This window comes from Homo sapiens, chromosome 3 (assembly GCF_000001405.40).
Source record: "Homo sapiens chromosome 3, GRCh38.p14 Primary Assembly".
NCBI lineage: Eukaryota > Metazoa > Chordata > Mammalia > Primates > Hominidae > Homo > Homo sapiens.
In genome coordinates, this window is record NC_000003.12 from 113,020,646 (window position 1) to 113,045,640 (window position 24,995).

General features: G+C 41.8%; 1 long non-coding RNA gene and 1 pseudogene across 13 annotated transcripts in view; one reads left to right on the forward strand and one right to left on the reverse strand.

Moving 5' to 3' along the window:
* NEPRO-AS1 (NEPRO antisense RNA 1) overlaps positions 1-24,995 on the forward strand; it is a 164,860-nt gene that overhangs the window by 1,128 nt on the left and 138,737 nt on the right. Inside the window, exon 2 of one of the 13 annotated variants that reach the window (NR_186651.1) lies at positions 832-3,234. The exons of the other annotated variants lie outside the window; for them this stretch is intronic. This is a non-coding gene — a long non-coding RNA (NEPRO antisense RNA 1). Of the gene's footprint in view, positions 1-831; positions 3,235-24,995 lie in introns of those variants that run through there. 13 annotated transcript variants of the gene reach the window in all.
* Positions 20,745-21,169, reverse strand: DNAJB1P2 (DNAJB1 peudogene 2; annotated as a pseudogene).

Consider the following 24,995-nt stretch of genomic DNA (forward strand, 5'->3'; position numbering starts at 1 on the left):
TATTGAAACACTTTCCATGCTCTTTCTGTGCGCCTTTACACATCTACCTACTCTACCTGGGTCATCCTCGGAAACACAATCTCCTTTCCTCAGCTCTGGGGTCGTCACTTGGGGTAATTCTTCCTAAACACCCCGTCCTCACTCCATAACTTGATACAGAGGCCCCTTTAATGTGTTACCACAGTGCCCTATGTTGGCCTATGTATTAGTTTTCTATTGCTGCTGTAACCAATTACGACAAACCTAATGGCTTGAAATAAGTAGAAGTTATTTTACATTTCTGGAGGTCAGAAGTCCAAAATTAATTTCAATGGACTGAAGTTGGCAGGGCTGGTTCCTTCCGGAATCTCTAGGGAAGAATTCATTTCCTTTCCTTTTCCAGCTTCTAGAGGCTGCCTTCATTCCTTGGCTCATTTCACTATCCTCCACCTTCATTGTCAGCATGACATTTTTCAGTCTCCTCCTCTTCCTCTGTCTCTCTCACCCTCCTGCCTGCCTCCCTCTTAAAAACACCCTTGTGATTACATTGAGCCCATCAAGATAATCAGGATAGTCACTCCATCTCAGAATCTTTAACTTAATCACATCTGTTTTAGAACTCCAAATTCAGGCTCATGTACCCGATGGGCAGCTGATGCCAAATATTGAGATACTGGTGCTTGGAGACAGAGAAATATTTATTCGATTTGACCAAAGTTAGAGGGCAAGAGAGCAAGATCTCTCAGATCCACAGTAACAAAAAAGAAGCAGGGAGTTTTTATGGAGCTAGAGAGTAATGGAGAGGGAGTTTCAAGGAATCCAAGGGAAAAGTCTGTGTTTCTTCCATTTCAGGTAACACCTTGTGCAGCCGTATGTACATGGCAGCTGGTTGCAATGTCCTTCCAGGAATTCATTCCTTCTGCAAACTATTCTTATGACCCTGAAGTTATCTCCTTCTGCTTGACAAAGAAACAGTACATCAGCAGTTTATAATTACATTGTGGGAACAAGGAATACTGGGCAAAAAGCGAGTGGTTAACATGTACAAGCAAGCAAGGGCCTGTTCAAAATTTTCATTATTTCATGCACACACACACACACACACACACACAAAAATGCTGGGGTGCTGAAATCTCAAGCAGCTGAAATCTCAAGGTTATATAGCTACAAAATCCCTTCTCAGTGCAAGGTAACATATTTACAGATTATGGAAATTAGCATGTGAACATCTTTGGGTGGGAGGTGGAGGGATCTTTATTCAGCCTACCACAGCCTCTCTCACAGAATTTACCTCGCTTTATTGTATTTCTTTGTTTACTTTCATGTCTATTTCTCCAATGGCATATGAACCTACTGAAAGCGAGAACTACCATTGACATAGCTAACTGGTCTTTCTATCTCAATGCTTAGTTCAGAGCCTGGCATATAGTAGGGCCTCAGTAGATATTTACTGGCTGTATATGAGGTTGGATGATGCTTGAATAGAGTCTTTTGAAGGATGAATAGGAACTCCCCAGGCAGTTAAAGGAAAAAGGATATTCCTACAGAGAGGTTTTAAGCAGCATGGGTTTGAAGAATCACTAGTCCTGAGTTGGTACTGCTGGGACGTGATTTGTGCTGAGGGGTGGAGCTGGGAATAGTGGTGTCAGTCAGATCATGGGAAGAATTTGGCTTTTTACCTGAAGACCAGTAGTTCAGAAACCTGGCTGATTATCAAAATTGCCTGGATAACTTAAAAATAGAGATTTTCAGGTCCCACTTGAAAATTCTTACTCATTAGTTCTGAGTAGGTCTGTTTTGAAAAGGTCTTTGTGATGGTACTCTAGGTTGACGTGTCCTTGCTATAGGTGATAAAGGAGTCACTCACTGAGTCTTAGGCAGAGCAATTTTTGTCAGCTTGCCTCAGAAGAAGAGCACCCTGGAGAACAGATTTGGGAGAGAAGAGGTTGGAAGTAAGGAGACCAGGCCCATCTGTTCTATTACAAAAGCTAAGGCCAGAAATGATGCAGACCCAAACCTTCAAGCATTTCTACTGGATATAGACAGTATGACTTATTTAGATGTCTAGCATGGGTGGAGAGTGTCCCTTATCTGAAATGCTTGGGACCAAAATTGTTTCAGATTTCCGGTTTTTTTTAGATTTTGGAATACTTGCAAATATACATGAGATATCTTGGGTATGGGACCCAAGTATAAACATGAAATGTATGTATGTTTCATATCTACCTTAAACACATGGCCTGAAGAAACTTTTATGTAATATTTTTAATAATTTTGTGCATGAAACAAAGTTTGTGTACATCTCAATCACCCATGTGGACAGTCTGTGGTTGTTTGGTGTCAACATCATTCCTGACTCTGAATTTATATGCTACTGTTTTTTTGTTTGTTTGTTTGTTTGTTTGTTTGTTTTTTGAGATAGAGTCTCACTCTGTTGCCCAGGCTGGAGTGCAGTGGCACGATCCCGGCTCACTGCAAGCTCCACCTCACAAGATCACACTATTCTCCTGTCTCAGCCTCCCGAGTAGCTGGGACTACAGGTGCCCACCACCATGTCTGGCTAATGTTTTTTTGTATTTTTAGTAGAGACGGGGTTTCACTGTGTTAGCCAGGATAGTCTCGATCTGCTGACCTTGTGATCTGCCCGCCTTGGCCTCCCAAAGTGCTGGGATTACAGGTGTGAGCCACCGCACCCAGCCTATATGCTGCTGTTAAGCAACCATTTTTTTCTCTTATTCACACATATGTGCTTAATAGTAAAAAAAATGATATACCATTAATACAGTGAAAATTAATGTGTTCAGGGTAACTTGTATCATCATGTCAGTACTCAAAAAGTTTGGCATTTTGGAGCACTTCAGATTTTGGATTTTCAGTTTAAAGATGCTCAACCTATTTACATATTTACATGTCTAGAATGATGATATGGTTTGGGTCTGTGTCCCTACCCAAATCTCATGTTGAATTATAACCCCCAATGTTGGAGGAGGGGCCTTGTGGGATGCAATTGGATAGTAGGGGCAGAAATCTCCCTTGCTGTTCTCATGATAGTGAGTTCTCAGGACATCTGGTTGTTTAAAAGTGTGTAGCACCTCCCTCTTTGCTCGCTTGCTCTCCTTCTCTGGCCATGTAAGATGTGCCTGCTTCCCCTTCACCTTCCTCCATGATTGTAAGTTTCCTGAGGCTTCCCCAGTTGTGCTTCCTGTACAGCCTGCAGAATTGTGAGTCAATTAAACTTCTTTTATTTATAAATTACCCAATCTCAGGTAGTTCTTTATAATAATGTGAGAATGGACTAATACAAATGACTTCCAGATTTTCACCTTAAGTTCGAAATATGACATTCAGAAGAAAAATAGATTTAGGGAGGTGGCAAGGGTGATAAGATAACTTTCGATATACTGAGTTTGAGATTGTCCATGGCTATCCACGAGAAAATGTGCAGTTCACCAGTTGAATAAATGGGACTATAGCTCAAAAGTGATTGCAAAGGGTTGAAGTAGAGACAATGAATATAAAACAATATTTTTAGTAGCTTAGATAGGAGGGAAAATGGAGTTTATTGGTGACAGAGAGATGCAGGATCAAGAAGAGTATTGTTTTGTTTTGTTCTGATTTTAAGGATAGTTTACTAGTCAGGATTCCACCAGCCTGTAGGGGTGGGTTGCCCCTACACACCTGTGGGTGTTTCTCGTAAGGTGGGACGAGAGATTTGGAAAAGAAAAAGACACAGAGACAAAGTATAGAGAAAGAAATAAGGGGACCCGGGGAACCAGCGTTCAGCATATGGAGGATCCCGCCAGCCTCTGAGTTCCCTTAGTATTTATTGATCATCTGTGGGTGTTTCTCGAAGAGGGGGATGTGTCAGGGTCACAAGACAATTGTGGGGAGAGGGTCAGCAGACAAACACGTGAACAAAGGTCTTTGCATCATAGACAATGTAAAGGATTAAGTGCTGTGCTTTTAGATATGCATACACATAAACATCTCAATGCTTTACAAAGCAGTATTGCTGCCCGCAGGTCCCACCTCCAGCCGTAAGGCGGTTTTTCCCTATCTCAGTAGATGGAGCATACAATCGGGTTTTATACCGAGACATTCCATTGCCCAGGGACAGGCAGGAGACAGATGCCTTCCTCTTGTCTCAACTGCAAGAGGCATTCCTTCCTCTTTTACTAATCCTCCTCAGCACAGACCCTTTACGGGTGTCGGGCTGGGGGACGGTCAGGTCTTTCCCTTCCCACGAGGCCATATTTCAGACTATCACATGGGGAGAAACCTTGGACAATACCTGGCTTTCCTAGGCAGAGGTCCCTGCGGCCTTCCGCAGTTTTTGTGTCCCTGGGTACTTGAGATTAGGGAGTGGTGATGACTCTTAAGGAGCATGCTGCCTTCAAGCATCTGTTTAACAAAGCACATCTTGCACCGCCCTTAATCCATTTAACTCTGAGTTGACACAGCACATGTTTCAGAGAGCACGGGGTTGGGGGTAAGGTCACAGAATCTCAAGGCAGAAGAATTTTTCTTAGTACATAACAAAATGGAGTCTCCTATGTCTACTTCTTTCTACACAGACACAGTAACAATCTGATCTCTCTTGCTTTTCCCCACATTTCCCCCTTTTCTTTTCGACAAAACCACCGTCGTCATCATGGCCCGTTCTCGATGGTCGCTGCCTCTTCGGAGCTGTTGGGTACACCTGCAGACTAACAACTGACAAAACAGGCACACAAGGATTAATATGAAATTTATAATCGTAGTACTTCCAATGGTCTTAACCCAAGTGACAGGGTTAAGATTTGCGAGGCCAACAGCAACTCCTGCAATTGCCTCAGTTCCTGGCACCAAATTTAAATGGGCTTTAGATGCTTCGAAAATTTGTTCTTTTAATTTGGAAATGTCTAAAGTGAGATTATCTTCTCTTCCCTGTAGATGGCGTCTAACCATGTCCCAGTGATGCTCAGACTCATTATAAATTTGGGGTGTAATACAAAAATCTGACGTATTCCAGTCACACTGTAACTGGAAAAGATGTTCTAAGCTCATGAGTCTGTCTCCCATCCAAATGACAGTTTGTCTAAGATCAATTAATTTGATTTGCCAATTTTTGATCAATACTAGATTGTGAATTCCACAATCTTGTAGAATTCTTTTGCCAATCATTAACAAAGTTTACTGACTGAACAGAAGAGTGCAATGCAACTCCTGCTACAGCAGCCGTAGCTGTGACTGCAATTAATCCCATAATCACTGCAATTAAAGTAAAAATGAATCTTTTGGATCTATTTAAAACACCTTTTAATACTTCAGTTAAAATATGGACGGATAGTGAGGCCTCCCACGGTCGGTCCATGGACACAGGGATCCACACGCCCTCTCTTGCTCTCACCAGCAGAATACGGTGTTGCCAATTAAAAGTTGAATCAATGCAAGTAAGCAATCTCCAATTTTCACAGGTTATAGTCTGGGAGTCTGGTTTAATAACTATATTTCCTACAACTAGCATATAAGGGGGCTTTACGCAACTTTGTAAAGGAACTGTTAGACTGGAATTTAGGTCAACAGTATAAAATGGCTTACGATCTCTTGTTTCTAAAGTTTGATTTCCAGACCAAATTCTAATGTGGTGTGAGGCCACAGTAAGCCTCCATAATTCTGGATGTTCAGGACCAGAAACAGGACTTATTATTTTTGGTCTTGGGGTAGAGATTCCTTTTTCTCCCCATTCCCAAGGGTAGAAAGACTGCAATTTTTTATGCTTATGTTTGTCTAAACTTTCTGTTAAGTCGCTATCAACAGCTGGACTCACTTGTGCACTTGGACACGACTGAGTTTGTCCTGAGCAATTGTGGTAGAATTGACCTCGAGGTGCCCAATCTATAATAGTTCCGAATTCATTGTTTTGTAATATCACCGCACTATTGGCCACACATTCTTCCCAAACTAAAACTTCTGTATTTTTTGATTCTTTGGGAATTTCCTTGGGGCAAGGTTTCCCTTTAGGTCTAAATTTTAATGATCTTTGATAAGAAAAGTCTTGTAAATAATTTACCCGTGGCCTAAGTGACATCCCGCTTACCATGTGATAAGTGAATCTACTGATGGGACTGACAGTAGGTACTTCTACCAACCAATTTTGGACTGCAGGCATTAAACATCCTGGTGCTCTCCCTAGGCAAATAGGAGGATAACGATACCCAATGGAAATATTTATCATCATCCCTTCTTCCTCAGGTTTGGCAGGGCAGCGATCATCTGTGGGGCCAGGTACCCATTCGCTATCATTAACATATACTTCTATAGGATTATCCATCCATGTGACTGGTGTTACCATCTCCGTGGAGGCCCTTTTCTTTGCATCTCCGATGGGTTCATTGTAGAACTTCAAATGTCTAGTGGGTATCCAAACAGGAAGCTGATTTTCTCCTGGTGAAACACAAGCAAAACCTCTCCCCCACGTTATCACCTTCCCTATTTCCCATGTCTTATTTTTATTATCTTTCCACCAAATTAGTTTTCCTTCATGTGGGCTGTTCTTTTTACCAGTAAGATGTTGTTCTGCAGAAGTAGTAGTCTGATTTCTATAAATGTTTAAAAAATTTAAAGTATAGAGTGCTAGATTAAGTTGCATCTGAGGAGTGGTACACTCCTTACTGTCTCCCCCTTCTTTTTGTTTAACTAATTGAGTTTTGAGTGTTCTATTAGTTCTTTCAACTATGGCCTGTCCTTGGGAATTATAAGGAATTCCTGTTGTATGTGAAATTTTCCACTGACTTAAGAATTTTTGGAAAGCTTTACTACAATATCCTGGTCCATTGCCAGTTTTGATTTTTTCTGGAACTCCCATTATAGCAAAACAATAAATGTTTTTTAACATGGGAAGTACTTTCTCCTGTTTGGCAAGTTGCCCATATGAAATGTGAATAAGTATCAACTGTTACATGAACATATGATAATCTTCCAAATGAAGGTACATGCGTGACATGCATTTGCCATAATGCATTAGGACACAGACCTCTGGGATTAACTCCTGCCTCTTGAGTGGGCAGGTGTAAGACTTGACACTGGGTGCAATGTTGTACAATATCTTTTGCCTGTTTCCATGTGACATCAAATTTGTTTTTTAATCCTGCTGCATTTACATGAGTCAAAGCATGAAGTTCTTGTGCTTTTATGAGTGCAGATGATACCAGTAAGTCAGCTTCTTCATTTGCTTTAGTCAAAGGCCCTGGTAAATTAGTGTGTGCTCGAATATGAGTAATATAAAATGGGAAATTTCTTTTTCTTACAGTTTGTTGTAATAAATTGAATAGCTGGTTTAACTGATCATCCATGCTATATTTAATTAGAGCTGTCTCAACATCCCTTGTAGCCTGTACTACATATGCAGAATCTGATATAATATTGATAGGTTGGTCAAAATCTTGTAACACTGTAATGACTGCAACCAACTCTGCTCTTTGAGCTGATTGATATGGAGTTTTGATTACTCGTTCTTTCGGCCCTGTGTAAGCTGCTTTTCCATTGCTGGAACCATCAGTAAATACTGTTAGAGCATTTTCTAAAGGTTCACGTCTGGTAATTTTAGGTAGAATCCAAGTAGTCAGTTTTAAGAACTGGAAGATCTTTGTTTTTGGGTAATGATTATCAATAATTCCCACAAAATTAGCAAGACCAATCTGCCATGCACCAGAATTGATAAAGGCTTGTCTAACTTGTTCCTTGGTTAAAGGGACAACTATTTTGTCTGGGTCATTTCCACATAATTTTATTATTCGTAATCTTGTCTGACCGATTAATGTAGCTATTTGATCCAAGTACAATGTAAAAGTCTTAACTGTACTGTGAGGAAGGAATGACCACTCCACAAGATCAGTATTTTGAATAATGATGCCTGTTGGAGAATGTGCAGTGGCAAAAATCAAAAGTTGGAGTGGGGCTAAGGGATCTATTCTATTTATTTGCGCTGACTGAATTTTTTCTTCCACTAATTTAATTTCTTTTGTTGCCTCTGGGGTTAACATTCTTTTACTATTTAAGTCTGAGTCTCCTCTTAAGATAGAGAACAAATTTGACATGGCATAAGTAGGAATGCCTAGAGTTGGCCAAATCCAATTAATATCTCCTAGTAATTTTTGAAAATCATTTAGTGTTTTTAATGTGTCTTTTCTTATTTCTATTTTTTGTGGCTTAATTTTTCTATTTTCTATCTGCATCCCTAAATAATGAAAAGGAGTAGAGGTTTGGATCTTATCAGATGCTATTGCCAGTCCAGCATTGGCAACCTCTGCTTGCAGAAATGTATAACAGTCAATTAATTTATCTTTCGTTTCTGCAGCACATAAAATATCATCAATATAATGAATAATATAACAGTCTGAAAACTTTTCTCTAACTGGTTGAAGAGCTCGACCTACAAAAGTCTGACAAATAGTTGGACTATTAAGCATTCCCTGAGGTAACACTTTCCACTGAAACCTGGTGGCTGGTTCTTTATTATTTATGGCTGGTATAGTAAAGGCAAATTTTTCACAATCCTGCTCTGCCAGAGGGATGGTAAAAAAGCAATCCTTTAGATCAATTATAATTAAAGGCCAATCTTTTGGGATCATGGCCGGAGAGGGCAACCCGGGTTGGAGAGGCCCCATGGGTTGAATTACGGCGTTTACGGCCCTTAAGTTAGTTAACATACGCCATTTGCCTGATTTCTTCTGAATTACAAACACAGGAGAATTCCAAGGCGAGGATGAAGGCTCAATATGACCCTTTTCTAACTGTTCATTTGCTAATAAATGTAAAGCCTCCAGTTTTTGTTTTGGTAGCGGACACTGATTTACCCACACCGGTTTTTCTGTTTTCCAAGTTAATGGTATGGGTTTAGGAGGCTCTACAGTGGCCGCCCCTAAAAAGGATACCCTATTCCTTCTCTTTTTTGATTTATTTTAGCCTCAACTGGAACTTTAATGCCATCTTCATTTTTCCCTAGTCCCTTTCCTGGTATATATCCCATCTTGGTCATGATTTTTTGACTCGTGGGGCTATATAATGGAGCGGGCATGGTGATTTCCGCACCCCCTTGTTGTAATAAATCTCGACCCCACAGATTAAGAGGAATTTAAGTAATCATTGGCTGAACAGTACTTTCTTGATTATCTGGCCCTAAGCAATGTAAAATCTCCATACTTTGATACACTTCTGAGGCTGTGCCTATGCCGACAAGTCCTGTAACAGCCTTTTGTTTAGGCCAATTTTTTGGCCACTGATTTAAAGCAATGATAGAGACATCTGCTCCAGTGTCTACCAACCCTTCAAACTGTTTTCCTTGAATAATGGCCTTACACACAGGTCTGTTCTCTGAGACCTGACTTGCCCAATATGCAGCCTTTCCTGTTGGATCAGTGCTTCCAAGCCCTCCTATTCTTTTTATTTCACTATTTCCACCCTTAATATATGGCAGGAGTAATAATTGAGCAATCCTGTCTCCTGGACTGGCACTCCAAGGAACTGAAGAGCTAATAACCAATTGAATTTCGCCTTTATAGTCTGAATCAACCACACTAGTATGAATTTGAACTCCTTTTAGATTTAGACTTGATCTTCCCAAGATTAGTCCTACAGTCCCCTCAGGCAGGGGGCCATATACCCCTGTGGGGATTTTTTGTGGGGGCTCCCCTGGAAGCAGAGAGACTGCTTGTATAGTACATAAATCTACTGCTGCACTGCCGCTTGTGGGGGGGACAATTGTTGTATTGTGGTAACTGGCTTATTCCCTGAAACACTTGGGACAGTGGGGGTTGTTGTCCCTGAAAACCCTGAGGAACAAATGGCTGAATTGGGAATGCCCCAGTTTGTTGTGGGGCCTGAGGCTGGCCCCTTTGCTCGTTTCCCGACAATGGTTGCCCATTTTTATCAAATTTAGAACGACATTGACTAGCCCAATGTTTTCCTTTTTTACATCTTGGACATAAGTCAGGTGGCTCTCTACCTGTTGTAGTTGCTTGAATAGTTATATTCTGTTTATTTAAGACTGGGCAATTCTTTTTTAAGTGACCAATTTGACCACAATTATAACATTTTCCTCCAAATGTTCTAACTTGTCCTCCTAAAACAACTCCTGTTATTGCTTGAGCCATAAGCATAGCTTTATGCATAGCTCCTCCGATTCCATCACAGGCTTTTACATATTCTGAGATTACATCTGATCCTGCAGGAACCTTTCCTTTTAATGGCTTAATGGCTGATTGACACTCAGGATTGGCGTTTTCATATGCCATTAACTCCACTATGACCTTACGGGCTTTTTCATCGGCAATTGACTTTTGAGCAACATCTTGGAGCCTTGCCACAAAATCAGGATAGGGCTCTTTTGAACCTTGTCTTACTGTATTAAATGAGGGGCAGGTACTTCCTGGGTCTTGGATTTTTTCCCAGGCTCTAAGGCAGATAGCTCTAACTTGCTCAATGGCCTCATTTTGCATTAATGCTTGTTGACTAATAGTACTCCAATTTTGACCTATTCCTAATAGTTGATCTGCATCTATGTTAACTGGAGGATTGGCAGCCCTATTTCTTCGGACCTGTTCTTGTACCCCATCAATCCACCAAGTCTTAAATTGTAAAAATTGAGAGGGTGAGAGAGACGATTTTGCCAGAATCTCCCAATCATAAGGAATGAGTTTATGTCCATGAGCAATGGAATCTAATAATGTCCTCATATAAGGGGAGTTGGGTCCATACTGTTTTACTCCCTCTTTCATATCTTTTAGCATTTTTATCGAAAAAGACTTGTATCTGGCCTCAACTGTGGGAGGCTCTCCCTCTTGGGCTCCTTCTCCAGGTGGCATCGGTTCTAACGTTACTGGGAATTGCCATGCCTCAGTATCTCCTTCCTTTCTTGATTTATCAATAATTTCATGTAATTCACTACCCCGTCTACTAGGTGGTGCCGTAGGATTAAGTCTCCTAGTGGGTGGCTGAGGGTATGGCGCCCTGCCCTGTGGTGCTGGGGGCATTCCTGGATATCCATACTGACTTTCTGGGGGTGGCCGATACTGAAGTTCAGCCGGCGGCCAGTATTGATAGGCTACTGGCGGTTGGGTCTTATTTTCTTTAACCTGCTTTTGAGGTTGTAATGTTACGGGCACCTGACCTGCTGGAAGATGACTTGTGCCTCGTGGTTTAGACTCTGATGGCCCCACTAATTCTGGACCTTTTCCTTCCAATTTTAACGTTTCAGGATATATCACCTCCTGTAATTGATTATAGTCAACATTTTGCGTTGACTGAGCCATTACCGGCTCTGCTACATATTCGCAATGTAAACCTTCCGTTTCTTTCTGGGATTTTTTCCTTGTGTTTTCATTACAATCTATTATACAGCTTCCAAGGGCATCAGAAACTGAAACACTATCTTCTTCTGTTTGAAATGGTTCTAAAGCTGCTTTAATAATGGCCCAATCATTCCATACTGTAAGTGGAATGACATTACCCTTCCTACCTGCTTGTTTTAGTTCCTTACCAATTCTTTTCCAATCTTTTAGATCTAAAGTTCCTTGTTCTGGAAACCATGGGCAAAATTGTTCTATTATTTGAAATAGCTTGATTAGATTTTTTGTAGATACTTTAACTCCCCCTCTTTTTAAAAGAATTTTAATAAAGCTGAGATAAGAGGCATATTTACTTTTAATTTTACTTTTAGTTTGCCCCATTATCACCCTAGCTTCTTCCGAGCGCACAAGCTTACCGTAAGGCTGACTGTAGACGTACTCGGGATCTCTCGTCGACTTGTCCTCAATGACCACGCTCGAGCGTACCTTCACCCTAGAGAAAAGCCTCCACGTTGGGCACCAGATGTAGGGGTGGGTTGCCCCTACACACCTGTGGGTGTTTCTCGTAAGGTGGGACGAGAGATTTGGAAAAGAAAAAGACACAGAGACAAAGTATAGAGAAAGAAATAAGGGGACCCGGGGAACCAGCGTTCAGCATATGGAGGATCCCGCCAGCCTCTGAGTTCCCTTAGTATTTATTGATCATCTGTGGGTGTTTCTCGAAGAGGGGGATGTGTCAGGGTCACAAGACAATTGTGGGGAGAGGGTCAGCAGACAAACACGTGAACAAAGGTCTTTGCATCATAGACAATGTAAAGGATTAAGTGCTGTGCTTTTAGATATGCATACACATAAACATCTCAATGCTTTACAAAGCAGTATTGCTGCCCGCAGGTCCCACCTCCAGCCGTAAGGCGGTTTTTCCCTATCTCAGTAGATGGAGCATACAATCGGGTTTTATACCGAGACATTCCATTGCCCAGGGACAGGCAGGAGACAGATGCCTTCCTCTTGTCTCAACTGCAAGAGGCATTCCTTCCTCTTTTACTAATCCTCCTCAGCACAGACCCTTTACGGGTGTCGGGCTGGGGGACGGTCAGGTCTTTCCCTTCCCACGAGGCCATATTTCAGACTATCACATGGGGAGAAACCTTGGACAATACCTGGCTTTCCTAGGCAGAGGTCCCTGCGGCCTTCCGCAGTTTTTGTGTCCCTGGGTACTTGAGATTAGGGAGTGGTGATGACTCTTAAGGAGCATGCTGCCTTCAAGCATCTGTTTAACAAAGCACATCTTGCACCGCCCTTAATCCATTTAACTCTGAGTTGACACAGCACATGTTTCAGAGAGCACGGGGTTGGGGGTAAGGTCACAGAATCTCAAGGCAGAAGAATTTTTCTTAGTACATAACAAAATGGAGTCTCCTATGTCTACTTCTTTCTACACAGACACAGTAACAATCTGATCTCTCTTGCTTTTCCCCACACCAGCCAAAGAGAAACAGTAGAATATGTAAAGGGATTTACAGAAAGAAATTGACTTATACCATTGTAGAGGTCAGATAGGAAAGTCTGAAATTCATAAGGCTGGAAACTCTCAGGCAGGAGCTGAAGAGGAAGTCCGCAGGTGGAATTTCTTCTTTCTTCACATCTTCAGGAAAACCTAAGTTCTATTCTTTAGGCCTTTCAACTGATTGGATCAGGCTCACCCACATTACCCAGAATAATCCCCTTTACATAAAATCAACTGGCTGTAGACATTAATCACTTCTACAGAATACCTTCACAGCAACACCTAAGCTAATATTTGATTGAATAACTGGGTGCTACAGCCTAGCCAAGTTGACACATAAAGCTGACCATCACAGATGGAAAATGACTTGATCAAACATATATATAGGCTAAAGGGAAGAATTCAAAGTGTGAAAGAAGCTGGATATAAAAAAATAGGAGAGAATTGATGGAGAAAGACCCATTACTCATTCAACAAAGTTTCTGAGCGTCAGTTTTTTGCCAGACACCATCCTAGGAACCAGAAGAGACAAGCAGGGATGGAATCAAGTGCTGAAGTAAAGCAGTTGACTTAAATATCAAAACCTTTTATTATCTGAGCCAGGAAGAAAAATAAAGATAGTATAGATATAGATCTATTTCGGAAGGAGTGATGGACAGCTTCTGTGTTCTCAATGGAGGAGGATTTGAGATCATTACCAAGAGTGGAGGAGGGCAGGGAGATGGTGTTCTGGATGAGCAATGGATGTTGAAATCCGAGCTTCCTTGAATCAGGGCACATGGGAAAAGCACAGGCTATGTACATTAGAAGTAAGGTTTTAGGGCCCTACTGTAAACAAATCTCTAGACTGCAAAAAAAAAAAAAAAAAAAGGCTGTCACAGACAAAAATGACCATTAAATGTAAAACCTTGGCCATCTCATTAGTAATTCATGAAATACAAATTAAAATAATTTTTAGCTTCTATCAAATAGACAAAGAGTAAAAAGCATGGTGTCTGGTGTCACTAGGGCTTTGCACGAAAAATCTAGGTGCAAAGTTATCCTTTGTTGTAATCATAAAAAAGGAAAGTGACATTGTATCCTCACAATAATTCGATTACTTTCTAATATTTTGGCAGTGGAATTTTTTATTCCCCACAAAATCTTATATAGAAACCTACTATGTAAAACAAATATATAAAAGCAAGATTGCAGTGGTTAAGTATGTATGGGGGAATGCAAGGCCCTCCCATTAAGGCAATTTTGAGGGGCCATTTCCTGAGGTACTTGCCCAAGACATTTCCTAGAACAGTTTGAAACTTGCTGCTGTAAATAAATATGTATTAATGTGAGCAATTATTAATGATACATTAAGATTTTTTTAAGCAGTTCAGAAAACTGTATGTCATTCCTTGAAAAAAATACATAGCCACACATTGAGGAAGAGGTCTAGAAGGATCTAAATGAAGGTTATAACAATGGTCATTTTTCTGGCAGTAGGATAGATTTTTTTTTCTTCTATGAGCTTATTTTTTTATATTTTAAAAAAAGAAGTATTGCTGTTGTAATGAGAAAAAATTATGTATTATTTTTATTTATTTATTTAATTATTTTATTTATTTTACTTTTTTTGAGGTGGAGTCTCACTCTGTCGCCCAGGCTGGAGTGCAGTGACACTGTCTCGGCTCACTGCAACCTCCACTGGGAACAAGTGATTATCCTGCCTCCGCCTTCCAAGTAGTTGGGATTATAGGCACCCACCGTGGCCAGCTAATTTTTGTGTTTTTAGCAGAGACAGGGTTTCTCGATGTTGGCCAGTCTGGTCGCGAACTCCTGACCTCAGGTGATCCCCCAACCTCAGCCTCCCAAAGTGCTGGGATTACAGGCGTGAGCCACCTCGCCCGGCGAAAAAAATTATTTTTAATGCTAGAATGCTGTGTACCAAGATGTTTGTGTGTGTGCATGCACATGATATGATATGTGTATGCACAATATATTCAGAGATATATCTTTTGGCTTATTCACCTATGGCCTTTCAGCTCTAATCCCATGCTTCTATATTTGCTCTGTGATGCTGGAACTGGGACTCTGCAAACTACTTGGCTAGCTGGTAGATATACCAATATGGGCCACTAGAGGGAGGTTGAAGGCAAGAGCAGGAGAGAAGATTCTTCTCTGCTCCATTGTCCCTGGCAGTGTTGCCCAACACTGTCTTCACTCCAGGTAATGGCAGTTGGTTCCAGTCCCTGAATCTTTTTGACACACGCCCAGACCTACCCTCAGAGGTACTAGCAGCACCGGGATGGTGTTCTGTCCTCAGAGGTCTGGGTCCCAATTCCGTAAGTCCCTTCCTCTAAAAATCTAAATTCTGATAACCCCAAATTTCTTTGCCTGGTTTCTCCAGTTCCAGGGATTGTAACTGCTTTCAGCAGTTACCTCTGTGTTACTTCAGTGTTGTATCATCTTTTCATCTTAGTTCTTAAACATTCATTTAACTAATTCCTTATATTTACCTTAAATTCTTTCTGGTGGCCGGGCGCGGTGGCTCATACCTGTAATCCCAGCACTTTGGGAGGCTGAAGTGGGTGGATCACTTGAGGCCAGGAGTTCGAGACCAGCCTGACCCACATGGTGAAACCCCCTCTCTACTAAAAATGCAAAAAAATTAGCCAGGCGTGTTGGCGCATGCTTGTAATCCCAGCTACTTGGGAGGCTGAGGCAGGAGAATCCTTGAACCTGGGAGGCAGAGGTTGCAGTGAGCCGAGATTGCACCCTTGCACTCCAGCCTGGGCAACAAGAGTGAAACTCCATCTCGAAAAAGAAAATTCTTTCTGGTAAAATATATAACATGGTATTATTTTGTTTTACTAATGGACTTTGACTGATATGATATTTGGAACCAGAAGTGGTCCCAGGAAACGGCCCCTCTAAATGAAATTCTGTGGTTGGTTTGGCCATGTCCTTAGCTTTAAACACAGTAGTGATGGGGAAATTGGGTATTAGAAATCCTTGGTGTGCTGCAGCATCATACTTAGTCACCTGAAGCTGACTGTGAGGAAGTGCCCTCTGAAGCCCACTGACTCCACGACTGTTACAGTAGCAGTGATGCTTCTGAGTGCACTGGAAAGCCTACAGAAAGTGACACACTTAGGTATTTAACACAGCTCAAGTCACAGAGAATCAGGGAGCGTCTATGCTGGCCCTAAAATAATCAGTTATTTCTTATAGTTTCATAGCTGACCTTGACCCAAAATTCAGTTCTGTGGGTTGCAGAATTACAACCTAAACTGAATTCATAGACTCACAAATCTCATCTGTGAAAGTTAGAGCATTGATTGGCAGCAAGAAGGACTCTGAGCCTCGGAATTAGTTGAACTCAGGAAAAGCTGAGAATCTTGGAGCAGTCTGCCTTCCTGTGTCTGAGGAGACTTGTATGAAGACCCTATGATAACCTCAAGACCCACCAAACCACTTCTCATCACTTCTAGAGCTATAACTAAAATCAGATCTCAGTTAGCTCCAGGGGGACAAGTACAAAGTCTAATATGGAAAGAAATAGTTTAGATTTCAAAATAGTTGCAAAATGTTGCTAATTTTTAGTGACAGAAACTGAAGTAGTGTTGGATTTTAACGTTATTAGACCATAGAGGATGGAATATCAAGCACTGGACTAAACCAAATGTATCAATATGAGTCATCATATCAGTTTCTAGAGAGTCTTGCAGCGAGAAGTGTATCTAACAGTTTTCTTTGATGATTGAAAATTGAATCCAGCTATAACCTACATTCAACGAGGTTAAGATGCCAGAATTTCCCTGGATTAATGTAAAAGGAGGGATCCAAAGACTTAGGAAAATTGGAATGTTGGAATGGATATATAATCTGTGGTCTGCACATCCACCCCACCCCGACTGTGTCTTCTGAGAGAGCTCAGAGGTCACACCCTCCACTAAGGCCTTGAGAAATACATTAATGAGGTGCTATCAGTTTCTTTACAAAGTTCTGCAATGGCTGTCTTCTGTAGGTCAGAGTGATGATAGAAGATACCATCATTGAAATTGGCCCCTTGATTTCAATGGGATCCCAGAATGGTAAAGACCAATGAGCAATGATTAATTACAAGAGACAGTTGATGCATTTACTATAATGGACAATAGGAACAAAATGGTAACCAGATTGTTTTGACTAGCAAGGAACTTTAGTGGAGGCTAATTGATCACAGTGTCTGTAGGAATTAAATATATCGCAGCCTATGAAAATATTACTTCATCGATACAAAAGGAACCAGGAACTTGATTTGAGCACCAAACTGGAGAGACATGGCTTCTTACTTAGTTTCCAGATTTAGACAAGTTCAACAATATAGAGTCTCTTGATGGACAGGAAATTCAGGACAAGGATGTTCATCACTGTCATTTACAGTAACAAAAATGTGAACACATATAAATACTGTTGGGCTTCAAAGTGTGGGACCCTAGAAATTGAGAAAACCACAGAAGCAAGGTCATTCTCTCATATTCTCCCACCGTTCTGCAAGACAGCCAGCCATAAAAGAATTATCTGACCTACCTCCCCTGAAAGTAGGCCATAAGACATCACAACACAGGTGTCCTGCTCTGTATCTAGAGGAAATAAAGGAAGACATAAAGAAGAATCTGAACAAACAGGCCTTGCTAAGTTCTCCCCCACAATCCCTGTTTATTATCATTAGGTCATACTCTCCTTTGTCTAGTCATGTTTCTCCACAACTATCCACTTCTTTTATCGGACTTACCATAAAAATACAGTTTTCCCTCGGTTTTTGGGTCATCATTTTTGAAGGGTTCCATGTCATGTAAAATTTTGGTTAAATCTAAATTTTATATGTTTCCTTTGTTAATCCATCTTTTGTTCCGGGGTGTCAGTCATGAACCTTGCAATGGGTGAGGAAAAGATATTGCCTTTTCTCTCCTACAATATCCATGTTTCAGTTATCTGTTGCTGGCTAAAAATCAATAACTTAGTGACTTAAAATAACTATGTAAATGCTTACAGTACTGTGGGTCAGGAATGTGGGCAGGGCTCTGCAGGGGTGGCTTGTCCCTCCTCCACATGGTATTGGCTGGGTGGCTTGACTGGATCAGGAGACTCCCAGATGGCTTCCTTATAAGTCTGGCATCCCTCCTGGGATGGCTCAAATGGCTGAGGGTGGACTGAGATGCCTGGATCTTTATTCTCGTGGCTTTACCTGGGCTCACACATGTGTGTAGAGCTTGAGTTCTCCTCCATGTGGCTTCTCTCTCCACATATTATCTCAACCTCTAGGACCCATCTCTCCACACAGACTCTCTCTACAAATAGGATAATCTAGGCTTCTTTACATAGTGGCTGGGGTCCACCCTGAACAAAAGCAGATGCTGCAAGGCCCCTTAGGATCTGGGCTCAGATCTGGGCTACTTTCACCACATTCTTCTGGCCAAAAAAGTCATAAGGGCAACCTAGGCTCCAGGAATGAGGAAATAGACCCCCTGCTCTTGTTGGGGAAAGCAGTTAAGAATATTACAAAGAGACAAGGACACAGGGGGATGTGATTTACTCATTGGGGTCCATTTATAACAACCTACTACAGTTTAATAAGAAACATTTCCTGGCCGGGCATGGTGGCTCACGCCTGTAATCCCAGCACTTTGGGAGGCTGAGGCGGGTGGATCACGAGGTCAGGAGTTCAAGACCAGCCTGGCCAACATAGTGAAACCCTGTCTCTACTAAAAATACAAAAAATTAGCTGGGCATGGTGGCAGGCGCTGGTAATCCCAGCTACTCAGGAGGCTGAGGCAGGACAATTGCTTGAACCCGGGAGGCAGAGGTTGCAGTAAGCAGAGATTGCACCATTGCACTCCAGCCTGGGCAACAGTGCAAAACTCTGTCTCAAAAAACAAACAAACAAAAATATTTCCTCTTAGAAATTATAGTATGCCCATAGAATGAAAAACAGGGTAAGCAAAATGGCTATAAAGAACAGATCCAAAATATGTAGTGGATCAAACACATTAGATGTTTATTCTCACCTGTTTTCCCCATCTTGTTCAACACATGATTATTCAAATTTTAGGTTCCCATCCTGTGACTTTGAAATCCCCTAGGGCCTTGTCATCATCTGCATCCAGCTATAAGAAGGGGGAACAGATAACATAGAGGTAGGACACACCTGCCTCTTACAAGCATTGGCCCAGGAATACACTCATTATATTCACTCACATTCCTTTGGCTACACCTAACTGCAAGGGAGGCCAGGAAACATAGTCTAGTTGCATATCCAGGAAGAAGGAAATAGGTCAGGCATGGTGGCTTATGCCTGTAATCCCAGCACTTTGGGAGGCTAAGGTGGGCGGATCACTTGGGCCAGGAATTCAAGACCAGCCTGGCCAGCATGGTGAAACCCTATCTCTACTAAAAATACGAACATTAGCCGAGCATGGCGGTGCATGCCTGTAATCCTAGCTATTTGGGAGGCTGAGGCACGAGAATCACTTGAGCCCAGGAGGCAGAGGTTGCAGTGAGCCAAGAGCACCATTGCACTCCAGCCTGGGTGACAGAGCGAGACTGTGTCTCAAAAAAAAAAAAAAAAAAAAAGATAAAGAAAAAAGGAAGAAAGAAGAAAAAATAGTGAACAACTAGAAGACTTTGCTACAATCATTTTTTAAAAAACAAATGTTTAATGGCCCAGAGAAGTGCTCGTTGCATGTCTGACTGGCTGGGGCTGGCGTTGCAGGTGGTAAAGGAATTTACCAAGACAGTTATAGGTAAAGAAAGGCAGATTTATTACAGAAAGTATGAAGATACATCGCAAGGGTGCAATGGGCAGCACAGCAGAGAAGGGGCTGTCTGCAAAGAGGCAGGGGCTGGAGGAAAGTTTTATAGGGTTGTGCTGGAAGGGATATGTGTAAAACGAGGTCATACTGCTGGGGCTACGTGCAGAGTGAGGTAGTTGTACCAGCAGTTGTTTGTGGTTAGCTGTCTCAGAACAATTGTTCTCCCCGACATGGGACCCCTTCTCCATTGTTGCTTACTCATCTTAACAGGACTCCACAGTGCTCACATTTTATTAAATGAATAAAGAAGATAATAAAACTGGTTATATATGATGACTCCAAGTTGGGAAAGGGGCAAATAGGGATGTGTACCCAGAGTAAAAAATGATGCTAAGATATTAATAATAGTTATTTCCAGTTAGTAGGAATACAGAAGAGTTTTATTTTCTATTCTTTTAATTTTCTGAATTGTTCAGTGAACATAAATTACCTCTATAAGATGACATTATTTTTTAAATGTTAAAATATCTCAGTGATAAACACAAAGTGGTCATTTAGCAAGGATCATTGTTGACAATCCATCTCCTATCTCAACTCCTAGAACCTCATAGAAACATAGAGAAGAAACACCTGTTGATAGCAATCTATTTTCTGAGGTATTCAGAGGCCAGCATGCAATTTAACACAATCCCTAATTTACAAAAGCTATTTCTAAGTCCATTGTTTGAAGCTGAATGCATTCTCTGACAAAATTAATGTAAAGGATGATGTTAAAGATCCAGGGCCAGCCCACCAAAGCCACTCTACTGCAACCAGACACGATATTCCTACCAGTCATTCCATAGAGACCAACTCTGGATCCCAGAATTGCTACAGAAAAGTGCTTTCCATGGTCAAGGGCAAGATAGCAGGAGCATATCTTTCCTCATCTTGTGTTACCCTCCACCCCAACAAGCCTTGGCAGCCAAAGTGGGAGCTTTTTTTTTCCCCCACTCTAGTGCATGACTTTGAAAGATTGTAATATAGTCCATGGAAAACATTCGGCAGTCTGAAAGACTTCCCTGGGCCCACCTGTCCTCTCATGGTCAACTGGAGAACGGTCCAGAAATCCTTGAGCTCTGGAAAGCTTCCTGGTTAGTCCTTGGGGAATGCAGGTAGCTATATTGGAAGAACCTGCTCAAGTACAGTTCTTGACATCTGGGGAATCCATTAGGGGAAGATCACTTCAAACTCAATAATGAAGTCCCCACATTTCTTGGGCACTTTAGGGAGAGGGAAGTCTTCTCCAGGGGCTTTTCACTGCATGCCAGGCCTGATGACTTCCTTGAAAACGATGGGTATGGTCTTTCCGTCCAGAGTGGGATGTTCACTGTGCAGCCACACAGAGCCTTCCAAATGCTGATCCTGGCAGGATAGATGACATCAGAGCCATTTCTCTTAAAAATACTATGTGGCTTGTCCTTTAAAACAAAGACGATGTCAGCTGGAATGTTTTTAGAGGTTTGGTCTCCTTCCTTGCTTGGGGAAGGTCATTTTGGTCCCTCTTTCCACCGTGTTTTCACTTCAATGGTCCAGATCTTGTCTTGACTAGAACCAGTTTCCTCACCATGTGGAAAGTGGGAGCCGGGACTTCCTCAGCAATGAGCCTTGCCATGGTGGGGGCACGGAGGTGGAAGGGAGCTGCTTCCAGGCCTGGGGTAGGGGCTCCCACCAGGCATGGTCCTGAAGGAGACAGGTGATGGGATGTTACATTAGGATGACTAGGAAGATGCCAGGGACCCCTAGGATGGGGAAGAAATGTTTTCCTCATGTACTTTTCCCCTTGTGGAAGCAGCCATCTTAGAGACTTTGGTTCCTCTCCATCCCAAGTCCTCCATCATCCCACTTCCTTTAGTGTCCTCATCTCCAGTAACCTTCATATCGACCTCACTGCAGGCATGCACTCTCCAGCCATATCCCAAATCTTAGCATCAATCAGAGTTGTTCCTTCTCTGAAATCATGAATTCAGACATTTCCATTTCTGACAATAGTTTCCTATTTTCCAACTTTCTTACTCAAGTTACACCCTATAAATCTGATCTTAAACTGCACTGAATCACCAGTCCCCAGCACCCTTTTCTCTCTCATCAGTACCCCCACCTTCATCTTTATTTGTCCCCAGTCCATTTCTTGCCAGCATTCTCAATTCCCTCGCCCCATTGTACTTCCATGAGATTTGCCAGGCAAATGCCCAACTCTATAATAATTCTACTCTCTGAATGTTCTGGGATTCCAGAAAAAGCAGAACCCTTAGATAAGAACTCTCTCAACTTTCTGACACCAACCCTACAAACTTACTTGTCTCCCACTCATCCTGTCTTCCATTCTTTCACTTACAACAGATAAGGTGACCCTCCCCTCACCCAAGTTAAATCCTCCCATTTGCATCCTGTGTCCCAAATCCTTCTGCCTTCTCATAAGCTTCAAGCAATTAATAAGTCCCCTACTTTCTTACATCAACAATAAATTCTTTCTATTGGGTCTTTCCTATGAGTACTTAAACATTAACAGGTCTCTTCCATCTTGGAAAAAACAAACTCTTTCCACTCAAGGTTTCTCCACTTGTCCTATCTCCCTTTCCTTCCTTTCCTCCTTCCTTTCTCCTTTCAGAAAAGTAGAGAGAGATGATGAATTCCACAGCCAAACTCCTTGAAAGCCTAACTCCTACTTCACCAAATACTCACCCTTCTACCAATTGCAATTTAGTTTCTAAATACTAATATTACAAGATCAGTCAGCATACCAGCAAAAAGCAGAATTCATCCCACATGGTTCAAGGGAAGAAGCTGCTTACAGAGATATAGGCAGGATGAAGGCATCAAAAATGGAATCGTGAGGCACTCCAAGCGCAGTGACAGTAGGAAGCCATTATCATTCCTAGGGCCAAAGAGACAAGAGGAGGAAATAGAACAGTAAGAGTGAGAACCGGGGAGAAGAGGACACCTGGTAGGAATTGATGTCAAGGAGTGGTGGACTTACTGCCTAAGATAAGACACTAAAGCTGTATGGAACTGGGGAAAAATATTCTGCTCTCTCTGTTTCATTCATCCCATCTGTCATTGCTTTCCATTGGCCAAACCCAGCTGAAAGCTAGAGGGCAAGGGAGCCTAAGTGATAAAGTCTACAGAGCTCAGCCTTCAGGGACACAGGGAAGAGGGGAGAATGGTGGATACACAGAATAACCAGAACATTCACCCACAACCTCCTTTTTATAAAAGTCAGTGTTTTGCTTGGTATTGTTGACCACTGCCTCCTTGAAATAATCTTTTCCTGTGGCATGTGTGGCAGCATATTTGGCCACTTTTCCCTCTACAGGATGCTCCTGCTCAGTTTCTTTTGCTGGTTCCTCTTCCTCTGTCCTTTCCTTTGTATTGGTGTTTTTTTGTTTTGGTTTTTTTTGTTTGTTTGTTTGTTTGTTTTACAAACTCCCAAAGCTCCATCTATAAGTTGAAAATTCACAAAGGTATACCTCTATTTCAGATTTCTTTCCTGAACTTTAGACTTCAGGGTATGTAACTAGAGCACATCTCTGTATATCTGATGATCTTGAAGCACCTCATATTCAATGTGTCTTCAGTTGAACTCACCTCCCACTCTCCTCCCTGAAAACTCACACCTCTTCGTGTATCTCACTGAATAACATTACTACCCACTCAGTTATCTAATCAATCACCCAAGCCATTCTTTTCACTGCTGATAGAATGATTTTCCAAAAATGAAAAATATGATGATTTTACTCCTTTGCTTTCACTGGCTTATTAATTCCATGATAAATCTGAACTACTTAACGTGGCTTACAAAGGTTGTGTCAAATACTTCTAGGTGTTCAGCAAGATCCATGTTCTCCTCTTATTCCTGGGTGCACAGCTGAGCTACTTTTTCTAGCCTTTCTTGAACCACATTTGGCCAAATGACTGAGTTCTAGCCAATGGATGCCATTTCCAGACCAGTGCGTTTTAAAAAACATCTGTCCCTCTTTCACACTCTCTATTTCCCCTTCAGCTGTGAGGATGAAGCCCTAGGGGATGGCAAAATCACAAGAAGGAATTATGGCCTGGAGAAAAGCCATTGCACACCAGGAACACCTGCTGGGACCATTAGGTGAACTAGGAATATATTTATTTCAAAAACTGAGTGTAAAGAGGTTAAGTAGCCCAAGGTCACATGGCAAGTATTCAACAGAGCCCAGATTTCAATCCAGATTGCCTTATACCAAAGGCTAGGTTGATATTTGTGGTGTACTGCTCTTCTTATTATACATTAAGGGTTGTATTCTATGGCTTAATTGGCTGTCTACAGCCAGTAAAAGCTTTTTAAGAAAAAGGACCATGTATGCTTGCTAATTATTGACTTTTAGTACCCAGCAGTATATCTGGCATATAATAGGTACACAATAAATATTCATCAAGCCAGGTGTGGTGGCTCACACCTGTAATCCCAGCACTTTGGGAGGCTGAGGTGGGCAGATCACCTGAGGTCAGGAGTTCAAGACCAGCCTGGCCAACATGGTGAAACCCCCGTCTCTACTAAAAATACAAAAATCAGCTGGGCATGGTGTCACGTGCCTGTAATCCCAGCTACTCGGAGGCTGAGGCAAGATAATTGCTTGAACCCAGGAGGCAGAAGTTGCAGTAAGCTGAGATCACAACACTGCACTCCAGCCTGGGCAACAGAGTGAGACTCCGTCTCAAAAAAAAAAAAGAAATTCATCAAAAGCTGTGATCTGAATATTATATCCTCCAAAATCCTTACGTTGAAATCCTAACCTCCAAGGTGATGATATTAGGAGGTGGGCCTTTGGGGAGGTAACTAGGTCACAAAGGTAAGAGCCCTCATGAATGGAATTGGTGCCGTTGTAAGATAGACCCAAGGTAGCTCATTAGCCCCTTTCACCTTTTGGGGACACAGTGAGAAGGCACCAACTATGAAGCAGGAAATGAACCCTGGCACCAACTATGAAGCAGGAAATGAACCCTCCCCAGATACCAAATCTGTGGGCAGCTTGATCTTGGACTTCCCAGCCTCCAGAACTGTACGAAATAAATATTTGTTGCTTATGAGCCACCCAGTTTATGGTATTTTTGTTGTAGCAGCCCGAATGGAGTATGACATGAAATGAGTAGCATTGGTGACTTAAGGAGAATATAGTGACAGGGAGAGCCAATAAAACAGTTATTCCTCCTCTCTTGTTTTACTGTTTTTGGCTTGGTGAGAGAAGAGTATTTTGAGGAAAAAGGCAGAAATCTCATGTGTAAAGGGCAGAGGTAAATCAAGAATTGACAGTATCTGAAATGTTATGAACTCTCACATTTCAAAAGACGCCTGAAAGACAGAAAGTCATTTACATGGCATTTAGGAGCTGTCTATAG